This window comes from Homo sapiens, chromosome 6 (assembly GCF_000001405.40).
Source record: "Homo sapiens chromosome 6, GRCh38.p14 Primary Assembly".
In the NCBI taxonomy this organism is placed as follows: Eukaryota; Metazoa; Chordata; class Mammalia; order Primates; family Hominidae; genus Homo; species Homo sapiens.
The window spans coordinates 68961609-68985674 of NC_000006.12; the positions used below are offsets into that span (position 1 = coordinate 68961609).

The 24066-nt window shown below is 36.0% G+C and overlaps 1 protein-coding gene across 1 annotated transcript in view, besides 1 other annotated feature; it reads left to right on the top strand.

Annotated features, from left to right (window-relative positions):
- Positions 1 to 24066, top strand: part of ADGRB3 (adhesion G protein-coupled receptor B3) — a 754225-nt gene that overhangs the window by 326327 nt on the left and 403832 nt on the right. The window contains exons 9-10 of the mRNA NM_001704.3: positions 13155 to 13256; positions 13626 to 13732. Coding sequence (NP_001695.2) covers positions 13155 to 13256; positions 13626 to 13732 — 209 coding nt within the window. The remainder of the gene's footprint in view (positions 1 to 13154; positions 13257 to 13625; positions 13733 to 24066) is intronic.
- Positions 6469 to 6763: an enhancer, noted in NCBI's record as "tiled region #12106; HepG2 Activating non-DNase unmatched - State 12:CtcfO, and K562 Activating DNase matched - State 5:Enh". NCBI's record gives its function as "activates a minimal TATA promoter and a strong SV40 promoter by Sharpr-MPRA in HepG2 and K562 cells {active_cell/tissue: HepG2 | K562}" and the evidence as "EXISTENCE:reporter gene assay evidence [ECO:0000049][PMID:27701403]".

Here is a 24066-nt window from a genome sequence, read left to right on the forward strand (position 1 = left end):
CTTCTAAACTAAACTCTTGAACCACTCAATTTTAAGACTGAATGTAATCATTATTAGAAACCCAAATATGTCAGCATAAAATTTACATTTCTTTTCTAAAGAGAAAATACACTACTCCATAATGAAATATTTGCATACAAATTGACACCTGCTTTACCTTGTTCATTTCAAACCAAGTTTAATTAAGCACAAACAGTACTTTTTAAAGCTCCTATTTCATTGGAATTTATATTATTTAATTAAGCACAAATAGTACTTTTTAAAGCTCCTATTCCTTTGGAATTTATATTATTTTCTGCTTTCAGATATTATCTGTATACTCTTTAAGGAATTATGTTATTACCTGTTGCATTCTTCAAAAGGTTAAAGCAAGTTTTGACTGCATATTTTTGGGAATAGCAAATTAGGCCCTACTCAAGTGTCCATACCAGTTGTTAACCTAAAACCAGCCACTGAGTTTAATGGTGACAGTAGGTGGCACTAGGTATTGACTTCTTTAATATTAAATGTTCTATTTGTTCTTGCCAAGTCACTTCAGATAAATAGTAAAAAGCAGGAAAATGAATTAGAACTTGAAGATATCCCATAGATGAGAGAGACCACCTGTTGCTTTTAATAAATACCTAAAATAGTATCCAATCTTCTCAAAAAGGATGAGTTTTACCACCTATTTTAGTCTACAGTTCTGCAGCAAATCAAGCTGAGTTGTATGGGCAGACTTGGGGAAGAACCGCTGAGATCTAAAAGAATTAATAACAGATAGTACTACTGTGGCTACAGTATGTATACCAGATGCCCATTATTCAAACCTGTTGCTATGGAGATAATTATTGTCATAATTCATTTTATCAGATTTTCTTCAGATGAGACTTTGATCAGACTCTTACAGTTTCTGCCATGAATTGCTTAAAAAGCAATTTTCTGTAATCTTATATTACCCTACCTTGTTCAATTTAGAAATATTTAGCAACATGCTGATCATTCTCAAATTGAAAAGAAAAATTTAAGCACCACCTTTTACTATTTTTTTATTTATTCTTTTCATCCCTTATTGTTTTTCTGGGAAAAAATAAACTTTAGGAACTGTTTAACAATTATTTTAAATTAAGAGATTTAAAATTACTTTTAAACCTTTTTTGAGCTTAATGTTTACCAAGACACTAAATCTGAATATTGGTCTTTGATGTTTCTCATCAACACTTATTTTTCTCACCTTGTGTATCCTGACATATGAATGACCTAAGACTGCCCCAGCACTCTTCTCTTTTGTTGATCTCTCTCTCATCAACTATAGCCTCTGTGAGCAACACCCATGAATGTACCTTTATGTCTAATCACTCACAAAAACCTGATAAAGCTTTCCTACCTGGGACTCAATTCAGACTCTGGGTAACTGGGGGAAACTTTTCTTTGATCACCAGATCCTCTGTGTCATCTGGAGTGATTCCTCATTCTAGCAATCCCTGTTCCAGATGGAGTCCATCATGGTATTTCTCTCAGTGGCCCTGCTTTCACTTCCTCCTGCCACCAGCTTCCAGTAAGGGAGGAGCAGTGCAGCAGGAAGAGCCTGAACTATGGAGTCCAACAAAGTACCGACTTGGGCCTTGGTGTCCTCATTTATAAAATAGGGATAATAATATGTGCTGCAGAAGATTATTTCAAGGATGAAATGCTGGAGCTAATTAGGATCATCAAGTGGCAGTTCATGTACTCTGTTACCCATATTATGACAACACCTGCCTTCTCTAATCTCTTCCACACAGATTTATCTGATTATTCTCTCTTCTTTATAGCCTTGTTCTTATGACTTGCTTTCTCAAAAACTTCTGTGGCTTTTCATTACTGGCCAAATTTCATCCTACTGGGATCCTTGAGATTCTAATATTTCTATCAGCTTCAATAGCTTTCCAATGTTATCTCATCCTACTCATTTATGATATATATTTTAATATACATTTGTTCATATGTGATAGAATCAAGCAGATGCAGCCTCTGGTTTCTGAATACAGGGGTGCATATTCTCCCCTTATGGTGCTGTTTGCACTGTTATTCACTTGGGCTCCCCTAATGTCCCTGTCCCCTCTCTTATCCTCATCTGTTGATAGGGGAGAATTTGGGAGCCCATCCATTAAGAGATGTCTGCTCTCCTAATAATTCTTTCTCCCACAATCTCATAAGTGTTCTTTCTTCTTTGAACCCCTATAAATTTGTTTGATATTTCCTTATTATATAGTATTATTATTATATGATTATATCTGTTGAAATTCCAGCTTATTGCAGATGAACTATCTGTTCTCAGCCTTCTGAATCCCTGATTCTTCACTGAGCCTAGTTAAATATAATAGGTCAAGCCCTTTTGAATGTTTTTATTTCATATGATAAAAGCTATAACTAATGAAAACATTTATATAAAAGCATATGAATAAAAAGTTTGCAATGACTCTGATGTTAGTGTCTTACATTTCATGGCCTTTCAGTGTTTCAAAAGTCTGTTCAATGGACTGATTTACTGGAAGAACATTTCTATCACATATATGATTTTTTATATTGTAGTTATAAATTGTGGTATGATTCATCTTTCTTTGGAAATAAGTAATTGAGATATGGGAGGTAGGAAAAATATATGTTTCTATAGCGAGTTGTTCAGTTTCCCCAAATCTCAGCCCAGCTTATTATTTTAAGCCAGAGCTTCTCAAGGCAGTTCTACCCTGTCATGGGAGGATTTGTCCCAGCTGTGCCCAAATAGTGGTTCCTAAAGCCTCAGAGCAACTGACAAGGCAGGAGACTGTGGCTAGTGGTCTCCAGTCTTCAGTAGCCTTGCCTACTTCTCCCAGTGTGCCTCCAAATACTATCATTTCTACATATGCTATGACCTAGAGAAGGCTAAGACTCACTGTCGTCTTTGGCTGTTCCTAAGGTAATACAGAAACTTAGTAAACGTAACTTTCCAGCAAAATGTTGAGCATACCCCAGTATAAAATTCAGTATAACTAAAAGTTAGTAAATAGCTTTTTAGAGTTATTCCTCAAAGTTAGTTAGCTAATTTTTTAATTAACTTTGTTATCAGGTTGAAACTAGAGTGACCTTGTCTGCTAAGTTTAAATATAAAATTATGCAATAATAATACAGAATTTGCTTATGAGTAAGTATATATAACACTGTCCACCAGGTACTTAAACAATCTGCAATATATACCATTTGCTAATAAATTGAAAGTTCATGGTTTGCTAACTTCCAGACTTAAAAACAAATATTTGCAAAATGTATAAATAACTTGTTTACCACCATAACAATAAAAAGACTCCTCTGCTTAGAGAAGAGGTAAACTTCTCTGAGAATGGACTCAACTATTTGATTGACCATAGGTCCATCATCTCTTAGCTTAGTGGCCTCAGGCTAAACACTAAACACTTTCTGTCTTGACTTCCTCATGTTTAAAATGAGAATAACAATTCTGTTCACAAGGTTATAAGAATTCTGTGAATTAAAATATATAACACAGTAAGAACAATAACTCATAATGTTATGTAAATATTGCTGATATAATTGTATGTTGTTTCCATTTGAGACAGATTAAAACCATTTCCTATATGAGGAATGCTGTTATGAAACACACTTCATAAACACTCTTCTTTTTCCCACAGACCTTAGCAGCAGCATGAATTCTTCACATGAGTAGGTACCACCTTGGAAATTAGAGCTGTAAGTCATTGAGCACAGACACTGGATCCGTCTTATTTTCCTCTGCATCCTCCAGCACAGGGAATTCCCCAAACACAAGAATTCATGAATTGCCAACAAGCGAATTTTGAAATGTGGGTTCTTGAGTAGTACATGTTTTTTTTTTGTGTGTGTGTATATCAGCTCTATAGTTTAGAATCAATTTCTTTTTAATGCTGAAATTCTAGCATATGGGGTAAAAACTAATTTTCCACACAAAATTGATTTAAGCCCTGTATCATTTCTGCTCTTTTTAAGAGACAGAAAATCAGTTTGAATAGACAGATTAACAGCTAATCACTAGGTAATTGCTACCTTACTTTAAGGGGCATGCTAACTACATACTTGTGACTTCAAGTATAGTTGTATCTTACAAATGGATTTTTATATCTTTGCACTAGTAAGAGCAAACAGTGAGATCTTTGAGCTGATGAACAAAGTTACTATTCCTTTTAGCTAAGGCATACAAAGAGAGAATCCTTCCTATTGCTGCACAATCGTATGCTTTTATGTTCAGTCTAGAGAGCAGCCTCAGCTAGTTTATTTTCTAATTTACAAAACACACACAAGTGCCATTAAACAGAAAAAATAATTAAAACAAATCTCTATCTCTAGCTTGTTTTCTTCTGGAGCTTGGATTCCATCATATATATCAATTAACTTTTTTATAATACCTGTATGTGCCTAGATATGTCAAACTCAAAACTATTTTCGGCATCTCCTCTCCCAAGTCATCTCTTCCTCACATGTTGTAGTTCAGGGTCTCGCTAGCACATAAGATATCCTTCCTGGAAACCTGAGTTCTGTGTTTTATTTCTTTATCCTCCTCACCTCTTACATACAATCAGCCATAGTGCTGAGCCCATTCTACCTCCTAAATAAATTTTGAATTAATCTACATCCTATGATTCTTCATCCCTTCCCTAATTACATCATTTAGATTGTGGTAGGCCTCCCTGTCTTCAGCTCTCTTTCTTTCAACCCTTTCTCCAAACTGCAGGCATAGCAAGCATTTAAAACATTGTCATAAATTTCCCTTGCCCCTAATATAAAGTCAAGATCCTTGCTTACCTCATCATATATTACCCCTCCTCCTGCTGAATCACCCACCTCTACTTATCCCCAACTTTACACTTTACCCTTTCTGAAACGGTCACCTTCTTGGTTATTCCCAGTTCTCTTTGCTCCCTGGATTTTCCCACATGTGGTTCCCAGGACACACTCTCCCCTTCTTCATTGGTGGAAGTCCTGCTTCTCCTTTACACCTCAACCTGGACATCCCTCTGGAAATCTTCCACTGACACACTCTTCCCTAAGGTACTCCCAGAGCAGCCAGGGCTTCTCAGCTTAGAGTGGGCATCCTGTGTACTGTAATTCCTCAAATTATCATCTTTATGACCATTTTAGGAGTCAAGAGACATCGACTATTCTTACTTAGCCTTTTCTATGTGTAGTATTTAACAAGGTGACTGGGATATGCTGGGTGCCCAGTAAATATTTGTTGAATGAATGAATTCTATAAGTGGCACTGAGAAGTACCTAGAAAGATCCCACTACTGGGGAATTCATAAAGATGAGATGGCAGAAAATCAATTGTTATTTTAATGTCTAAAGCTATTTTGCTTTTGGTATAAGCATAAATCGACCTATTTTCTGAGATAGACTCTTCAAAGAATGCCAAGTCACCTTTGATAAAATAGTTAAAGCAGCTGTACCGTTTGACATTACTACTAAAAAGCTGAAAACCCTGGACCAGTTTGCACCTGTGAATCTATGATTTCCCCTGCCATCTTCCTTTTTAAAAATAATAATAATTTGTGTAGTGGATTTCTGTCTCCAAGAAGCACAATGAATCCAAGGCTTCATAAATTTACTGTGGAACAAAACAAAAAGTTGTTGACATCTCTAGGTTTAAAAAATTATTGACTTTTGCTTTTCATTTTGTTTGGCTGTTTGTAGGCAGACCAAACTGATAGTCATTAAGAAGATAAAATTCAGTAATAGAAAGATGTGGTTGGTCAAAGGAAAACAACTATTTAATCAGCTTCTTCCTGAACCAGAGTGAGGATGTGTGTAGGGCACATTGGGGGATTCTAAAAAATGGTCCTATAGGATCTTAGTAAGTCAGATATAGCCCTCCAAGGCCAAACTTAGTCATTACATGATACCCTGGAAACATCTTTTGACTAATTTTTAAGGTAACTGTAGTAGCTAACCTCCCTATCTTTCTGCTCCTAACTGGACACGGCTATCTACTGCTAGAGGATCCACCCCCCACCTCCACCCCCGCCCCACACACAACGTCTACAGTATTTTTGCAAAATCATCTTCATTCTCTGCGATCTTAAGAAATAGGGTAATTCAAAAACAGATCTAGCCAAAAGAGAAAAATAAATCAGCTAAAAACATGTATAGATGTTACAAGGTGACAGGAAAGTGCTTTGGAGAAAGATAAAGGAGAGGAAGGGGTGGGAGTGTTTGAGGGGCAGTCAGTGGGGTCTGAGAATGTGAGGTTTGAGAAAAGATTGAAGGCGGGAAAGACATGAGTCATGCAGACATGTTTGAGGGGGAGGAAGCGGGGGATAGTCAAAGCAGAAAGAACCTGCACACAAGCTCTGAGGTTGCAGTCGGCCTGTAGTACTGAAGAAGGGTGGAGAAGGCCTGTGCAGCTGGTGGGAAGCTGTGACAGTGGAGCAAGGAAGAGGAGAGGTAAGCTGTAACTGATGCTAGTTTAATCATTAAACATTGTACTTGCATGAAGAGAGGACGTTTTATTTTTCCCCAACTATTTGCCTTAAAAAAAAAATGAAGCATTGACTTATTTCACATATTTACTCTTACTCCCCACCTTGATTTTGAACCCATCAGATTCCGCAGCCGGCCCAGTAAACATTTCACCCTACTGGCTCACTAGTGCCATCTAGTGGCTAAGGTTTGCAATGACCACATTTTCTAACTACACATTTGACCGTGGGGGAGGGGCAGGGAGCAACGAAGTACCTTTTGCCAGAATAATACTAAGTGTGAAAAACTTTCTGATACCCCGACAGGGAAATGAAGAAGTTCATGATACAAATTGAATCTTCGTTTTCTTATGTCACGACTGAATCAGGAAATCTAGTATTCAACTATAGCAACAGGTTTTATTAAATGTGTTTCAAAGTTCACCAATGGAACTAAAGGAAATTTGAATTTCAAAGCATTGAAAACCAAAAAGATAGTACAAGTGAAGCAAAAGTGAAAGATTATAAATGAAGAGATAATGAGGGAGATAATAAACAGAAGTGGGATGTATGGATGGAGCAAAAAGAATAATCAAATATGACAGTCAGATTAGATTAACTATTGCCATGTCATTATTAAAAACGGACGAGTCGTTGTATCTAGAATTCAATTATGTAATAACCTATTCATGATGTATTTTTTGAACTTTAACATTTGTCCTAATTCTCCTTCTTTTAGTATTCTATAATAGTTTTTGGTTGGCATTTATAGAAACATGAATATCATTTATTACACTACTGTCCAACATAGTTGTTATTTCAATTTAAATGTACATTAACTAAAATCAAATAAAATCCAAAATTCACTTCTCAATTGCACTAGCCACATTTTCCTAGCACCTACCATACTGAACAGTGAAAATATAAAACATTTCTATCATTGAAAAAATTTTATTGGACAGTGCTGGTATGTTATTTCCCCAGTAAAAGTGATTTCTTTAATGAAAGTGTTTTGAACACATACTGTATACTAGATACCACTGTAGTTCATTACAACAGATTAAAAAGATAAAGTAAAACCTGGCTAGTCTAAAAAGCAACACTGGGGAATTGGGGAGGTTCACAGATATAACCAAGTATTTTCAATCTGTTGTGAGAAGGGCTATAATATTCATATATTCAATAACTGAGATATTAGGAAAGAGTTATTGGAGAATACATCATTTAAGCAGCATTTTAAGGATAAATAGGAATTTTACCCCTCAAAATAAGAATATCCATGGGTTTCACATCTGTGGATTGAACCAACCACAGATCAAAAATATTCAGGAAAATTAACTGTGTGGCTGCTGCATAGGAGAGTAAATATGAGCCGTGATGGGAATGGTAGGCTACAGCCCTTATGAGCAGGGCCTTTGGATCACACTAAGCACAGCTATCTTAGTTCTTTCTGTGTTATCCTGTCAGTACTGGAGAAGCATGGGAGGGTTTTAAGCAGAAAATTGTGGGATTAAACTTTATCTTAGAGATTACTCTTTTGATGTGGCATGAAAATTGGATTAAGGGGGCAGATGGAGGAGAACAGTACCACTTACTACCCAGCTCCTCAACTCAGAAAGCAAGCATCATCCTTGACCCCTTTGTCTTCCTAAATTCTCACATAGTTTTGTCTACCTCTTCAATTTACCTTGTATCCACCAATTTTTCTCATCTTTAGTCTAATCATCCTACCTAAAGCCATCAATGTTTCAGGGTTGAAGCACTGCACTGGTCTCCTCCACGGCATTGGCCATCTATTCTACCCACAGAAGGCAAACTATCTTAAAATTTAAAATTGAATCATTTCACTTTTTTAGAACCCTTCAATGGCTGCCCATGTGGCCCTATAGGCTCTAATCATGGCCTCTCTCACCAGACCATTACTCTATACTTGGTCTTACTCTTCTCCTTCCAGCCCTGCTGAACTCGATGCCCCAAGCTCTTCCTTGCTTCAAGGCCTTTGCACAAATTGTTTCCTCTGCCTGGAGCATTTATTGTACCGCACACTGCCAGTTTTAATTATATGTCACTTTCTCCAGGAAGCCTTCCTTGATTCTTCAGTTTTTAGGTTAAAATAGCACCCTGTACTTACTATTTGAAGTGCTCATCATAATTGTACTCAAGTAATTTTTTGTTTCACCTTGCCTCCTCCCTTTGACTAAAAGAATGTCTAGGCAGACTACTTTTCTTTTCTTCTTTCTTTTTTTTTTTTTAAATGGAATCTTGATCTGTCACCCAGGCTGGAGTGCAGTGACACGATCTTGGCTCACTGCAAACCCTGCCTCCCGGGTTCAAGCAATTCTTCTGCTTCAGCACCTGTAGCTGGGATCTTCCTCCTTCTGCTTCAGCACCTGTAGCAGGGACTACAGGTGCACGCCACCACACCCAGCTAATTGTTGTATTTTTAGTAGAGATGGGGTTTCATCAGGCTGGTCTTGAACTCCTGACCTCATGATCTGCCCGCCTTGGCCTCCCAAAGTGCTGGGATTACAGGCATGAGCCACTGTGCCTGTCCCAGACTGCATTTCTTATGCACCATTGGTTCTTCTAAAGCAGGGCCTAGCACCATGTTACATTAACAGGGCCTAGCTCTAGCACATATTAGGTAAAAATGTAGCCTAGCACATGTTAGTGCTAGCACAGGTCCTAGGACACAGGCCCAACACATGTGAGGTAAGTGCATGAAATAACCAATGAGGTTGTTCCCCTAATTTAACCAGGACAGAATGAATGCCTGGGTGAGTGGTGGAGGTAAAATCATGGAAGGTTAAGAGTAAGATAAGGATGACTAGAAGATGGATCCAATGGTTTTAGTTACGGGAACAAGATTGTAGTACCATTAGCAGAGTTAGGAATTTCAAGGAGAGGAAACAAGCAGCATTGTGGAGAATAATACTGGGAATTGAAGTGTGAGCAGCTTCACCTGAGATTTCTTTGGAATAGCCAAGTAAAAAATGCCACTCAGAAACTGGCTACGCCAGCCTAAACCCAAGAAAGATACCTGAACCAAAGAAACACATATAGTTGGCCGTCAGTATTCATGGGTTTCATCTCTGTGGATTGAACCAACCACAAATCAAATATTCAGAAAAAAATGACGTCTGTATTGAACATGTACAAAGTTTTTTCTAGTCATTATTTCCTAAACAATACAGTATAGCAACTATTTATATAGCATTTACATTGAGTTAAATATTATAAATAGTATATAGATGATGTCTTATGGTACAGTCATACCTTGGTTCCAGGACCCTGTGTCTACTAAAATCCTGTCTACTCAATGCCTGCAGACCACCCTGCAGAATCTGTGTGTTGGAAAAGTCTGCCCTTCTTAGATGCAGGTCTCACATCTTGCCAATATCGTATTTTCAATAAGTGTTTAGTTGAAAAAAATCCACATATAAGTGGACCCATGCAGCTCAAACCTGTGTTGTTCAAGGATTAACTGTGTACAGGAGGAAGAGCGTAGGTTTCAAATACTATACCATTTTATATCAGGGAGTTGAGCATCAGTGAATTTTGGTATCTGCAGGAGATCCTGGTACAAATCCCCCATAGATGACAGGGATGACTGTATGTGTTCCTAATACATAGTGGAAGTAGAAGGCATGTGTCCAGGCATGACTGCCATATAACAAGCGAAGTGTGGGATCAGAAACCAACTGATTACATACTTATTGAGGCTCCAACATTTACTAACTTTTCTTCTTTTCCACCGCTTCCCCTTCATTGGCATTAATCTGGGCACCACGAGTTTCATAGCAGTACCTTCCCTCACCACTGTCTGGTCTCTGGGCTTTGCCTTTTCTTCCTGACGCTGCTGCTGCTCTCCCTAGGAGACACTTCCAAGGACCTCTGTGGCCCGCTGGTGGGAGGCAGGATGGGGCAGCAGGGCCAGGAGCATGTGCTCTCCAAAGGGTGGGGCACAGATGCAACAGGCAGTGAAGTAGCTCTGGCTTACTAACCTTTGGGACCAGTGTGGGAATGTGTGGTTATTGGTGCTTCACTACTGGTGGCTGCTGTATCTCTTAGTTTATTTTCCTGTTGTTTCTATTCCCAAGATATTGAAGGAGTTAGCCCTACCTAGTGGCTGCCCCTACCCTCACTTGAGTTGTAGATTTTTTTGTGATTAGTTTTATTTTATTATTTTATATTTTTGATTTATGATAGGTCCTCTCCTACTCATCACCACCATTCCCAAGCCAAACTGTGACAAATCCAGTTCTTGTGTCCTGGGAAAGGGCCTTGCCAACCTCAGCACAGCTCTCCTGCCCCATTTAACAGCCCAGGTGCTTTGATGGAGCCAGGAGGGCATGGCCAGGCTCCCGAATGGGGAGGGTTTGGAGCACCTGGCAAAATGACTCCTCCCCATCCAACCTCCCCCTCCTGCACTCAGTTTCTCCTCTGGATTCAATATGTAATAAAGTTTGGAATTTGAAGAAGAAAAGTAGTTCATTTGCTTCTCTGTGCTTCTGTTTTCCCATGTGATAAATAAGGATCATAGTCACCTCTAACTCATAGGTGCTAACTCGTAGGTGGTTGGGAGAGAGCAAATGTGTCCATGCATGTAAAACTCTCCAAAAGGGCTTAATAAATACTAATATGATTATATTACTATTATTAATATGCTTGAAATTATCCAAGAAAAACACCTAACGTAAGGAAGAAGTAAGGTATGAATGATTCTGAGAAGGACACAAAGAATGAGACAAAGAAAGAATGCTCTGAGGGGTTGGTGGAGGAGTGTTGGAGAATGGCTTAAGATGCTGAAGAAAGTATTTCCAAGAAGGTGAGAAAAGTCAAAATATAGTGGTACAGACAAGGCCCAGACTGTGTGAGACTAAGATGAGGTTTGTTGGTAGATCATTGGTAAGGTTAGGAGGAGACAGCTTATGAAAGTGGGGCTGGTGAAGGTTGAATTAACTGCTAAACCCTCCACCAAGCAAAGAGGACACAAATTGAAAACATTGCCTATGTGTTTTAATGGGAACATGGAATAAATAAATGAATATATATTTACATATACTCAGAGGGAGAGGACTATCTTAAACAATTCAAGGTCATGAAGAGTATATGTGGGAAAAGAAAAGGAAGATGACTGAGGAGTGTGGATTCTAGGATCCAGTCCTGCTGACACCTCCACCAGCTCTGTCTCCTTAGACAAGCTTCCTCTTTTTGGGCCTTGGTGCCTTCATCTGTAAAGAGGAAGGAGTTGGAATAGTTGATCTTCAGTGACACTGTCAGCTTTGTAATACCCATGTGTTCAAACCATTCATCTTATCTTGGGTAATTATTTTTTAAATATTATTTCAAGATTTAATTTGTCAACTTGTATTCTTCCCCTACTGATAACTATAAGGTAATTTAATGAGTTCGTAAATTCTGAAATGGAATTGGTATCAGTAGAATGATGATTATCATGGATTAAATATTATATTATTCTGCAAGGAAGATGTTTCTCCCAAGAAATCACACTCCTGTGTTTATTTAGGTACTTAGTATTTTAAGATCCTCACTTATTTATCAAGGTATTTATAAAACATATATTCATTTATTTATTTATTCAATTTTGAGCAACTTCATGTGGCAAACACACCATTAGGTACAAGTGATACAGAGGTGAGTAGACCCAAACAAGATCCCTAGCAAATAGTGAAGACTGATATATGAACATGTAAATGACAATTTTGTATGAAAAGCACAACAGTGTGTGTGTCTAGAGAAGGGACTAATATTCTTTCACATGGGAGCAAGATGTCACTTTTAACACAATATAGATAGACCTCATTCTTTCACTACTATTTTGCATTTCATTATATTACAGTTAAACATCTGTTATTTTTGAAGTTATTTTTAATTTTCTTGCTCAATAATTAAATTGAAATTTTGAATATAATATGACAAAAAGATCAAATTGGTATATTTTTACTGCTATCATTGCTTTTAGTTGAAGAGGTAAAAAGTTACGTATTTTTACTCTTTATGCTTATTTATTTTTAACATTTAATAGTTAATAATTTTAATGTGCCTTTTTGTTTGTTGGAAGTCACTTTTTTGTATAACATCCTAAAATATTATAAATATTTTTATTGATATGCCTGAATATGTTCAACTTGTAGGCAAATCCAAATGACCTCTATAAATAGTCTACACAGTAAGCAGTTCAAAAAGAAATTACAATTCTGTAAATACTTTGTAGATACTAAAAGGAAATCTGATGGGTTTTTATGTATGTTTATGCCACTAACATTTCAGTAAACAATATACATTAAAGCAAATGAAAGAGCCTGTGCATGGTGGCTCAATTCTATAATCCTGGCACTTTGGGAGAAGCTCAAGATGAGCCTGGCAACATAAGGAGACCCTTTCTCTACGTAGAATTAAAACAAAAAATCGGCCAGATGTGGCAACACACGTCTGTAGTCCTAGTTACTCAAGAGACTAAGGAGGGAGGATGGCTTGAGCCCAGTAGTTTGCGGCTGCACAGTGAGCTAGGATCATGCCAGTGCACTCCAGCCTGGGCAACAGAGTGAGACCCCATCTCTAAAAAAAAGAAAGAAAAAAAAAGAAAACTAAAGAGCTCTGCAGTTAGAGAGGTGCCTTTGACAATTGTTTATTGCCAAAATTTTTTAAACACTACTGACATTCAAGTCCCTTTGTTTAAAATTGCAGCACCTTATGAAATATGCCCTGAGGATTATCTGATGTCGATGGTGTGGAAAAGAACTCCAGCAGGCGACTTGGCATTCAATCAATGTCCCCTGAATGCCACAGGTACAGTAGGATGACCCACCCAAACCCTAGTGATAATCCCCATCCAAGAACAGCATGCAGTGTTGGTTTATGAAGTCATGTTTTTGTCTTATATCCATAAATAAGTCTGTCCAATAAGCAAATAATGAAACAATTTTAGTAAAGTGCTTCATAAATGAAGCCAATGAAGAGATATAGAAAATATTGCTGGTGTAATTGTTTCTCAGTGTGACTAATATGCATTATAAAAATAATCAAAATATCAATTTCATGTGCATGTTTTTTAAAGAAAAAAAGTACAAACTTAATTTTTAGCCTGATTCCCAGCTAAGTGTGATGCCTTCAAACATCCCTATTATAAAGCTTCTCTCTGTTCTTTGTGACACACAGGCACCACTAGCAGACGCTGCTCTCTCAGTCTTCATGGAGTGGCCTTCTGGGAACAGCCGAGCTTTGCAAGATGCATATCAAATGAGTACAGACACTTGCAGCATTCAGTAGGTGCAAAGCCAGCTTTAGTACTTGCTCTGTTTATTTTTTGCTAATGATCACTGTGTGAGAATTTAACCTTCTGCTGTACAATCAAATCAGTAACATCTCTAAAAAAGAAATGCCTGAAGGAGAAAGCAATGTGATAGAAAGCTAATTTTTATAGGTCAGTGCTAAATTGTTTTGTTCCTAGGACTTGGGTTTTTATGGATCCTGCTATTTAAATGAAAGAACCCTTTGTCTAGTGGGGGAAAGGCCTGAGCAAAATCTGTTATTCAGTTTTACCTATAAAAGTTAAACATATGCATTATGGTTGGCTTAAGTCTGTGTTAAATACTTATTTTAAAATATCATACATTTTAAAATTAAATTATTTAAATTTGCAGTAGTTGGACAGTGATAAAGCTGTGTCACTTAGCTATCAAATTTCTCACTGCAGTTTGAGATTAAGACATTAAAATAAATGACAGTGTTATTGCACCAGAGAAACTTAATTACTCCCAAAAGATTACATGGGCCAAATTTTCCAAAAAATAGCTCTTCTTTTCCCACATATCATTGACTTATTCACAGAGTATGATGCATGAATATTTTGAGCATAGTTACATTTTGCTTGGTATTTTACAAGTACAAGTCATTGTCATTACTGCAGACTGTTGTCATTTCATCCTGACAGTCAACAGGGCCTCCATACATGAATAAACACTGTAGGGTGTAGAACAAAATATGAACATGAGCCAACTGGGAAGTTTAATCTTGGCAGGAGTGATGTTTACTTAAATGCCTTTATGTTTTGTTGTGCTTATATTTTCTTTTACTGTTCTTACTGTCACTCAAAAATATACATAACTTTTGTAAGAATCCTAAAGAGTATTCTTGCTTGTGGATGGAGAAATAGCTTATACAATAACAACCCCTATCAACTAATAGAATTAGTATTTGTTTCATTATCAGAAAAAGAAAAGCATTTTTTTAAAATCTGAAAGTCAAATTCTGTACAGCATGTTTCCTTATGAAACTTGGAGTTAAATTTATCATTATTTAACTATCTGGAGAATTATTTCTGTCATTATATATACTTATGTATATCTATATACAGTTGACCCTTGAATAATGTGGCCGTTAGGGGCGCCAACACCCAGGGCAGTCGAAAATCCATATGTAACTTTTGACTCCCTTCACATTTACTAATAGCCTGTTCTTGACCAGTAAGGAAGGCTCACCGATAACAAAAACAGTTTATTAACACATATTCCATATGTTACATATATTTTGTACTGTATTTTTACAATAAAGTAAGCTAGAGAAAAGAAAATGTTATTAAGAAAGTCATAAAGAAGATAAATTATATTTGCTTGAATAGTGGAAGTGGATTATTATAAAAGTCTTCATCCTCATTATCTTTAGGCTGAGAAGGAGAAAGAGGAGGGGTTGGTCTTGCAGGCTCAGGAGTGGCAGAGGCAATACAAAATCTGCATGTAAGTGGACTGCACAGTTCAAACCTGTGTTGTTCAAGGGCCATTGCTACAGATATGTGTATAGCAGTAATTGATGATTATTTGGCTATATACAGCCTTATTTCTGTTGTAAATATATACTTACAATATAGAAAAATATATATTTTTTTATATTTATCACATAAACATAAAGTTTTATATTTATATATCATATAATATGCATTATATTGATATAAATTCAAAAATAGAAATATAAATAAGATTTTATATTTATATATTATATGCAGATATATAAATATAAATATACACATGTATTTTTTATAGTCTTTTTTTGTTTCTATTTAGAGACAAAAATATATATAAGTGAGGGAATATAACATATAGCTTAGCTTCATAATATAAAATGTAAGAATATGAAATATAAAGCTTCTTTTATTAATAGCTGTCAATAACTCAGACCATTATATTTCAAAATTAGGTATAAGTAAAAATGTATAAATTAAATTTTAATGGATTTTTTTTTCTAATTTTAGTCATTAGACTTTGTTTAATTATATCCATATTCAGTTCTTGTTCAGTCGTGGTGATGAATGGGAATAATTACAGGGATTAAGTAAATAACAGAGCAATCTTTACAAATTTGCTAAGAATTAATAGTATCACTTTTGTTGCAGAAAATTTTCACTTTCCAAATGTACTGTTTTGTACTGCAACATTTAAATGGGGTTTCATTCTTGAGTGCAGGCCATCTGATAATGGATTAAGATAGATACACTCAGTGAAATAGAAGAAATGAAATCTCAAAGTGTGAATCCTGTTGAAATTATTCAGTCAATAATTGACAGCAAATATGAATATGCCCTTGTTGACTTGGGTACAATTATCAGGTGCATGATCTTGTATAGTAAAAAGCTGCCTCTGTTTATTCGGCTCCTACATAGTACTAGGCACTAGGCTGGAAACTTTCATAAATGAATCCCAGTCCTCACAAGAATCTGCAAGATGGGTGTCCATGCCGCAGTTTACATAAAAAGAATCTGAATATCTGTCGGGGAGCAGTCACTTCAGTGAGGTAAAGAGTGAAAAGTATGCCCTAGGCGCAATTGTTCCAAAACCTAATCTCTTTTCTTTAGGCCATTCAACCTTCTGAACTTTTGATATGAAATCATCTGTCTTATACTCTATTGCTGGGAGCAGTATTTTCTGCTTACATGTTCTTAGGAAAAGTCATATGATCACACTCAAGTCTTAGCTTGCTATTTACAAAATGGAATTGGTTCCATCATCTTAGCACCTGTGGAAGTTTTGGAATGGAACAAATGAGATATGTGGAATAATCATACATTGTGAAAGAGTTGTGTAACAATGGGCATTAATATTTCTGGGTTCAGAAAATTGATTTTGAGTTTAAAGTATTGTTTCAATAAGAATAAAATTTTGGAACTCAACATATTGTTAATTTGAGCTGTACCTGTAGAAAAGTATAGATAAATTAGATATGGATAGATGGTTGGATAGGTAGGTAGGTAGGTAGATAGATACATAGATAGATAGGTAGGTAGATACACAGATAGATGATAGAGATAAGATAGATGTTGCATATATTTTGGCATATGAATTATGCTTAAATACATGTATGAAATATACACACACATTTGTACATGCATACATACACAAATCTAGGGCTTGCCTAAAGAGCATGATCTTTTTACATGTTCAGTAAAGTATAGAATGAATGAATGTATGCTTTCAATAATGCTTATGTCACACATCAGCCTCATCATCCACACTCTGCATACTCAATTGGAAACAGAAATGAGATCAACATTTCTGCATAGGCTTACTCATTCTGTTGCTTTGCTAAGTCATGCTTTGTCTAAGTAGCAAAACTGGATAGTATTTGTGATATAGAACATTTGAGACTTCCTCAAATTCTTAAATTAGTTTGGAGACTGTGCATTTTTCTCCTCTAGTAGAGTTTATCATTTCAACATTTAATCCTTGAGAGATTTCATTTCCTTACCCTTCTATATTCTAAAAGTTCATTCAATAATAATTAATTATAATCTACTGTAGAAAAATATTTAAAATAGGGAGCTCTATGTTTTCCAACTATTTGAAACATAGATTACAATATATGTGTATACCTACTTTATAAATATATAGCAATCACCTAAATTTGAAATGAAATTTTATCATTAATAAACATTAGTTGTGTATGTTCTATGAACTCTCAATTATAAACCAGTTGAGGTAAACAAAAGGGCCATCAATAAGTTTAAGATATAAAATCACTAATCTGTCATGTTGGACATTTGGTTTTTTTCTTTTTTTGTAAATCTTCATTGCTATAGTCCTAACATAATACTAAGCATATACTATTAATAAATATTTCAAAGATTTTTGAGTAAAGCACGACTTTGCTACTTTTCTTATAAGTAGAAGGATACTAGCAGCTGGAGAGTTCTGAGAAGGTGATACACCAGACTTAATGTTTATGCATGTTAACCACATGAAAGGAACAAGTATAAGCCTTCATGTGCAATTTCTCCAGCCCCCAAATACCTAGAAATGTGTAGTGATTGGTGACATCACTTTATGAAATTATTCGGCCATTGTATAACAATTTCAATTAGTTAATACTTATGAAGTTTATTTGGAAGCCTTATAAGATGCAAAGTTAGACACTATCATATCAATGTTGTTTTTTAAAAAAGACACAAATACACTTATCCAATTAAATAAAATTGAGAATATGAGAACAAAGTGCTAAACGTTGTGAGATTCTTGGAAAGTTTAAATTTTTAATATGTTAATGTTTCATTTGATACTCTGGAGTATTTTTTGAATTGTATACCAGAAAAAGTAAACATAATTGCAGAATTCTTGAAAAATAGGCACAGGAGTCAAATAAATTAACAATATCATTTCTTATTACTTATAAGCTATTTGGAGAACATGACTAAATATTGTAGTCCAGTGGGCCAGCCTACACTTGAACAAATAGACTTATTTTGTCTTTGGTATATGTGAACAATCACAGGCAACATTCTCTTTCTCTCTCTCTTCTCTCTCCTCTTCCTCCTCTTCCTCTCTTTTACATACATACAAACACACACCTGGGGAGACAAGCTGTGTGTAATTGGCAGAATGTATGCCCCTGTAGGTAGACAAATCTAAAGCAAAGGGAGTTGATCCAAGCATACCAATGCTTTCTCCTAAATTTATTGGACAGGTATATCACTCCTCCTTCCCTGGAGATGAGTGAGTGATGAAGATGGAGAAAGGCTAAAGATACTACTCTAATGGAAGCTCTTCCATAGGGAAATATGAAGAGTTAGGTATAAATATCCCCTTTTAGGTTATTGTTCCTTAAAACTCTGTTTCTATGATTCAAATCTTCATTAAACAAACAAATACAAATGTTGGAGTGATTATTTAGTCATCTTTACCTAACATTTTTTACAGATGTTAAAGAACTTGAATCCCATTTAAGGACTTTATTTCTCCTACTTTCCTCTACTCTTATGGGTAGTTTATTAGAACAGATAGCTGGAGCTACAGACAGAGAGACCAAGAGAGACAAAGAAACTGAGACAAAGAGAAAGAGACAGAAAGTAGGAGAATATTTGCTTTCCTTTTTTCTCCCTACTTTCTCTCAAGTTAATGCAACAAAACTCCTCACATATCACACTTTTTTGGTCACCATCTGATTGCACAAATGCTCAGCACATTGCCTAAAAGACGATAACACATTTTATTACTTCAGCTTATTTGGGGGAAGAAAACAAAACAATACCATCATAGGTCTCGTTTACAACAAATATGTATTGAGCTAAAAAGTATGCCTGTCTTATTGTTTCTTCAATGAGCAATTAAGAAACCAGTAAACAAATGCCGAGGTTCAGCTGGTCATAGGAACTAGCAGATGGATTTAATTTTCAAGTATTCACCAATTAGGTGGGAGTGAGTGAGCCTGTGAGACAGGAGTTACCTGTTCTGCAAATTCTATGTAATATAATAAGGCTGGAACGTGACAAGTCATGGAAAAGCAGGGAGCACCTAAATCAGTAGTTCTTAATCCTGACAACATTATTATCACATGGAAGTTCTTAACCCTGAATCAATAAGAAAGTCACTCCAGACCAATTAAACAGGATTGTTACCAGACCGTAGTACACATTCAGTAACTGTTATTATTATTACTAATTATAACATTGATTTTTGCATCCATATACATGTATTTCTAACTACATGGTCCTCTCATGAAATCATGTGGACAACTTAGTACTCAAGACATAGCATTTTACTGCCTTTTAATTCTTGTCACCACGCTCCAAAATGTTGTGAGTACTCACTTACGGAATTCAAATAATCATTGCAGAACCCAACAATAACAAGGAAAAGTTAGAGTATTGCTCTCTCTAAAATGGGCAGAAGTCTCTTTATTTTATTCAGAACCTATCTGTTAGAATTTTGAGATCTGAGTTCAGCTCCACAGTTATGGAGTTTTTAACATGTGGTCTTGAATAAAATTATGTGTTCACTGTGTTTACAGCAAATAGTAATAGCTCATATTTATTGAAGCTGATGGGAAACAAACAAACTTGGAAGGGAGGTGTTACTTAAATCTTTCTTTTCTAAGCAATTCATATGTCAGAGTTTACAACATATTTCAGAAGTTCCTAATGAGTTTTCCATTATGCCTGTAAAACTTTCAATTGTATTGACTTTATGTATTGTATTATAAGTCTAGAACAGGGCTGGTGAACTGCTTCTATAAGAACAAGATAGTAAATACTTTAGACTTTACATGCCATATGGCTTATGTTGCAACTATTCAACTCTGCTTTGTAGTACAAGAGCACAGCTACAGACAGTAAATAACAAATGGGCATGGCTGTGTTTCAGCAAAACTTATACAAAAACAAGCAATGGGTTGGATTTGGCCTGCAGGCTGTAGTTTACTGACTCCTAGTCTAGAATACACTTTGTTTCTGTTTTTAAGATCACAACACTTTTGGGGTTCTCCAAAGAATGGACAATACCTATTTTGTTATTTATTTATTTATTTATTTATTTATTTATTTATTTATTTATTTATTTTAGACAGAGTCTCACTCTATTGCCCAGGCTAGAGTGCAATGGTGCGATCTCGGCTCACTGCAACCTCTGCCTCCCAGGTTCAAGCGATCAAGCGATTCTCCTGCCTCAGCCTCCTGAGTAGCTGGGATTACAGGCGCCTGCCACCACGCCGGGCTAATTTTTGTATTTTCAGTAGAAACGGGTTTTCATCATGTTGGCCGGGCTGGTCTTGAACTCCTGACCTCATGATCTGCCTGCCTCAGCCTCCCAAAGTACATTTATAACTCTAAGATCTGCATAATCTGTGAGTCTACTTTGCTTTTCTTTTTGTCTGTCGTATCTCCTGGCCACTTTTCATATCCGGTAATATTTTATTGAATGTCAGACATTGCATAAAATAAACATATGGGTTTCAAATCATACTGGCTAATGTATCCCAAAAAGTATCCTTCCTTTCCTTAGCTATTCAAATACAGTGAGGAGTTGATACTTTAATTCATTCGGAAATTGATCTGGGTCAGGGCTGTTTTGCACTTTTAATAAGACTATATCTGCTTAGGCTGCCTTTCTCCATGATGTTTGTAGAGCCTATATGTGCCCATCCTGTCAGCTCTGAGAGACAGAGGGAGATTCAGCTCAGCCTTCAGAAGTTGCTAGTTCCATGTTCTAGCTTTCTGCCCAAGCAACTTCAAAATCTATCAACTGTCTTGAGGGTGAGACCAGCTGGGTGCTTAACACTGGACTCTTCCCTAAGTTCCCAAAGCTCTTAAAGGAAAGGGAAAATTGCAATTCTGCATTTAAGAAGTCTTCATCCTATCTCCTCAGCTTTTTACACAGGGCAGAAGCTCAGCAAATGTTTCACGAGAAAAAAAATCTCAGCAGGATTTTTAGGGCCCCTCAAATTTTCACTATATTTTTCCATCTCTGGCCAACCAAATTATATTCATTTATCTTTCTACCCGAGAGGTGCTCTGCCTCACCCGTGCTTGACCCTCAATTCTTACCCAGAATTAAGAAACTTTCGCAGGAGAAAAAGAAATGAATTAAATATTTGGCTTACCTCAGAAAAGATCTCTACTTTCTGGAAATTTAGTTCATCTCATTCTCACTACTTACATAGCTCTCTGATGTCCTTGAAAGTGTCATTTTTGTAATTTATGTGAGTTTTTCTAGTTGCAATGACAAAATCATTGGTCTTATATAAGTGAGACATTATCCCAAACCAGTAAATTTAAATTGTATTATAAAAAAGAAAAATAATCTTTAGTCACATATGATTGTGTTCCCTTGGAAATTTTAAGGAAGCCTAATATGTATATGAAATATCTCTAATAAATATACTTTTTTTCTATTTTTAACCTTATAACTTACTACTGATTATATCACTAAAAGCTGAGGAGATTTTTAAGCTTCTCCCAAAGTATGCCTTTAGTGTGGCTTGGAGGATAAATGTTAGAGTCAGTTTTAGGCATTGAAACTTTTTGAAGTGTCTTCACGGCCATACCACTCTGAATGGGCCTGATCTTGTCTGAAAGTTTTTGAAGTGAAACTTATTTATAGGATAGAATATAATTGTATAGTATATAACATATATATAGTATATATATAATTGTATAGTATAATTGTAATTGAATATAATTGTATAGAAAAGTATATTTAGACTAATACCAAAGGGAAAAAAATTACAAAAGAAACTATACTGTGTTATTCAATCATTTATGTATCCATTCATCTACCCATTAATTCATTATACAAATAATCATTGACCTTTAACTATGTGCCAAGTAGAGCTCAAGGACCTGGAGAAGCAACTTGAATGTAACACACAATAAATTCAATGTAAATATAAATAGACAGGAGATGCGATTAAAAATAATTACAAATTCTTATATGTTAAAGGAAATTAGCAGGGTGCCAACATACAGAATAATGTTTGGAAACGACTTCAGATTAAAATAAAATAAAATAAAAAACAGTGAGGTCTCTCTATTTCTTCTTAGAAATAACATTTAATACTGTGACCTGAAAGATGAGATGAATGCATGAGATAAACATGTAAACGGTAGAGAGAATGACTATGTCAGGAAATGACAGCACATTCCATGTAGCGAAAATAACATATGGAAATACCTTGAGGTCTTTAAGAAAGCAAAAAGATCTACTGGCCAGAGGTAGTAAGCAAGAAGAGAGTGTCATGACATGAGGCTGGAGAGAGCTGTGCCTTAAGGCCTTTGCTAGGAGTTTGGATTTAATACTAAGTGCAATGGGAATGCATTGAGAAGAGGGATGGTTTGATTAGATCTAATTAAAGAGGGTCATATGAGGTTTCTATGGAGGATAGACCATAGGGTGGCAGGACTGGAAACTTTGAAACCTGCTGCAGTAATCCAGACGAGAGATGATGGTGTCTTTTATTAAGGTTAGTAATCACATTTGGCTGGTTATAATGTCATTTTTCTGAGGCAGGGAAGGCAGGGCCATGAGGAATAATTTGGGACAGATGAGGTTTTGGGTTGTCAAAGGTTGTTTCTATTAAATCTGGAGAATGTAATTGGATATGGGAGTCGGAAACTCAGATTCTAATTTCTGGACAGGAAATAATTTTGGAAGTCATCAACACAAAGAACAGGAGATTAGGAAGTAAAAAATGGTTGTGTATTTATCCCTTTCTAAATTTTGATAATGAATGAGAGCAGAAGAATAGGGTAGTAGTTAGGAGGATGTGTAAGGCCAAAAAAGGGTTTTGTATTATTTTGTTTTGTTTTAAATGAGAAATATTATAACATTTTTATATGTTAAAATAAATGATCCAGTAAAAATTTAGAAGAGAAACATGAAAAATTAAAGAAAACCCAAGAAGGCAAAAAGAAATGTTAGCCATAGCAAAAGTCAAAAAATTCACTTTGGTAGGAAAAAAGATACTTTCTCCTTTATAACCAGAGGAAAGCAGATGGGAAAGATGAATACAGTGAAAAGAGCTTAGTGGGTTTTGTGTGGGAGAGATTATGGGGTTTTCATCTGATGGATTTTTTTTTTCTCCATTTAGTATGAGGCAGGATCATTAGCTAAGAGTGAGGATTTAGGAGGAAATGTGTGTCTTTCCAAGAGAGATGAAAAGGTATAAAACAGTAATTTCCAGAAGGTTGAAAATAAGCCTATTAGAGAAATATAATAGGATTAGCAGGCTGCATTGTACAACCTGAAGTCTGAAATACAGAATTTAGAGTATAGCTGTCAGTTTAGTTATGATTTTTCTCCAACAAAGTTGAGCTACTTGTATGCAGGTGCAGGGAAGGTATTTGTTAAAGCCTTGCTATTCAGAATGTTTTCTGAGGACCAGAAGTGTCCGCAGCACCTGAGAGCTTGTTAGAAATGTAGCATCTTAGACTGCCCCAGACTTACGTTATCAGAATCAGCAACTTTGAAAAGTGCTCTTTGTGATTCACTGCACATTAAAGTTTGAGAAACACTGTGGTAGATTTTATCCAGCGTTGATATTTTGATGAATCAATCCATTGGCATTAGAGAGAGGCAAAGAAGTAAAATGACTGTTAGTTAGCATCATACCATCACAAAACATATTATATTAGGTGATATCTGATTTTCCTCTTCTGGGCATATGGGAGGATTGTACTTCCTCACCCCCTTGATGTTAGGTACCTATGTGACTAGTTCTGGTCAATTGGTTGTGCATGGAGGTGACCATTGCCATGTCAGGCCTGAGAGTGTCATTCATTGCCATTGCAAGGTCTTTTATCCTCCATCATCTCAAGCCCTTGAAGGACTGTAATAAACAGAGC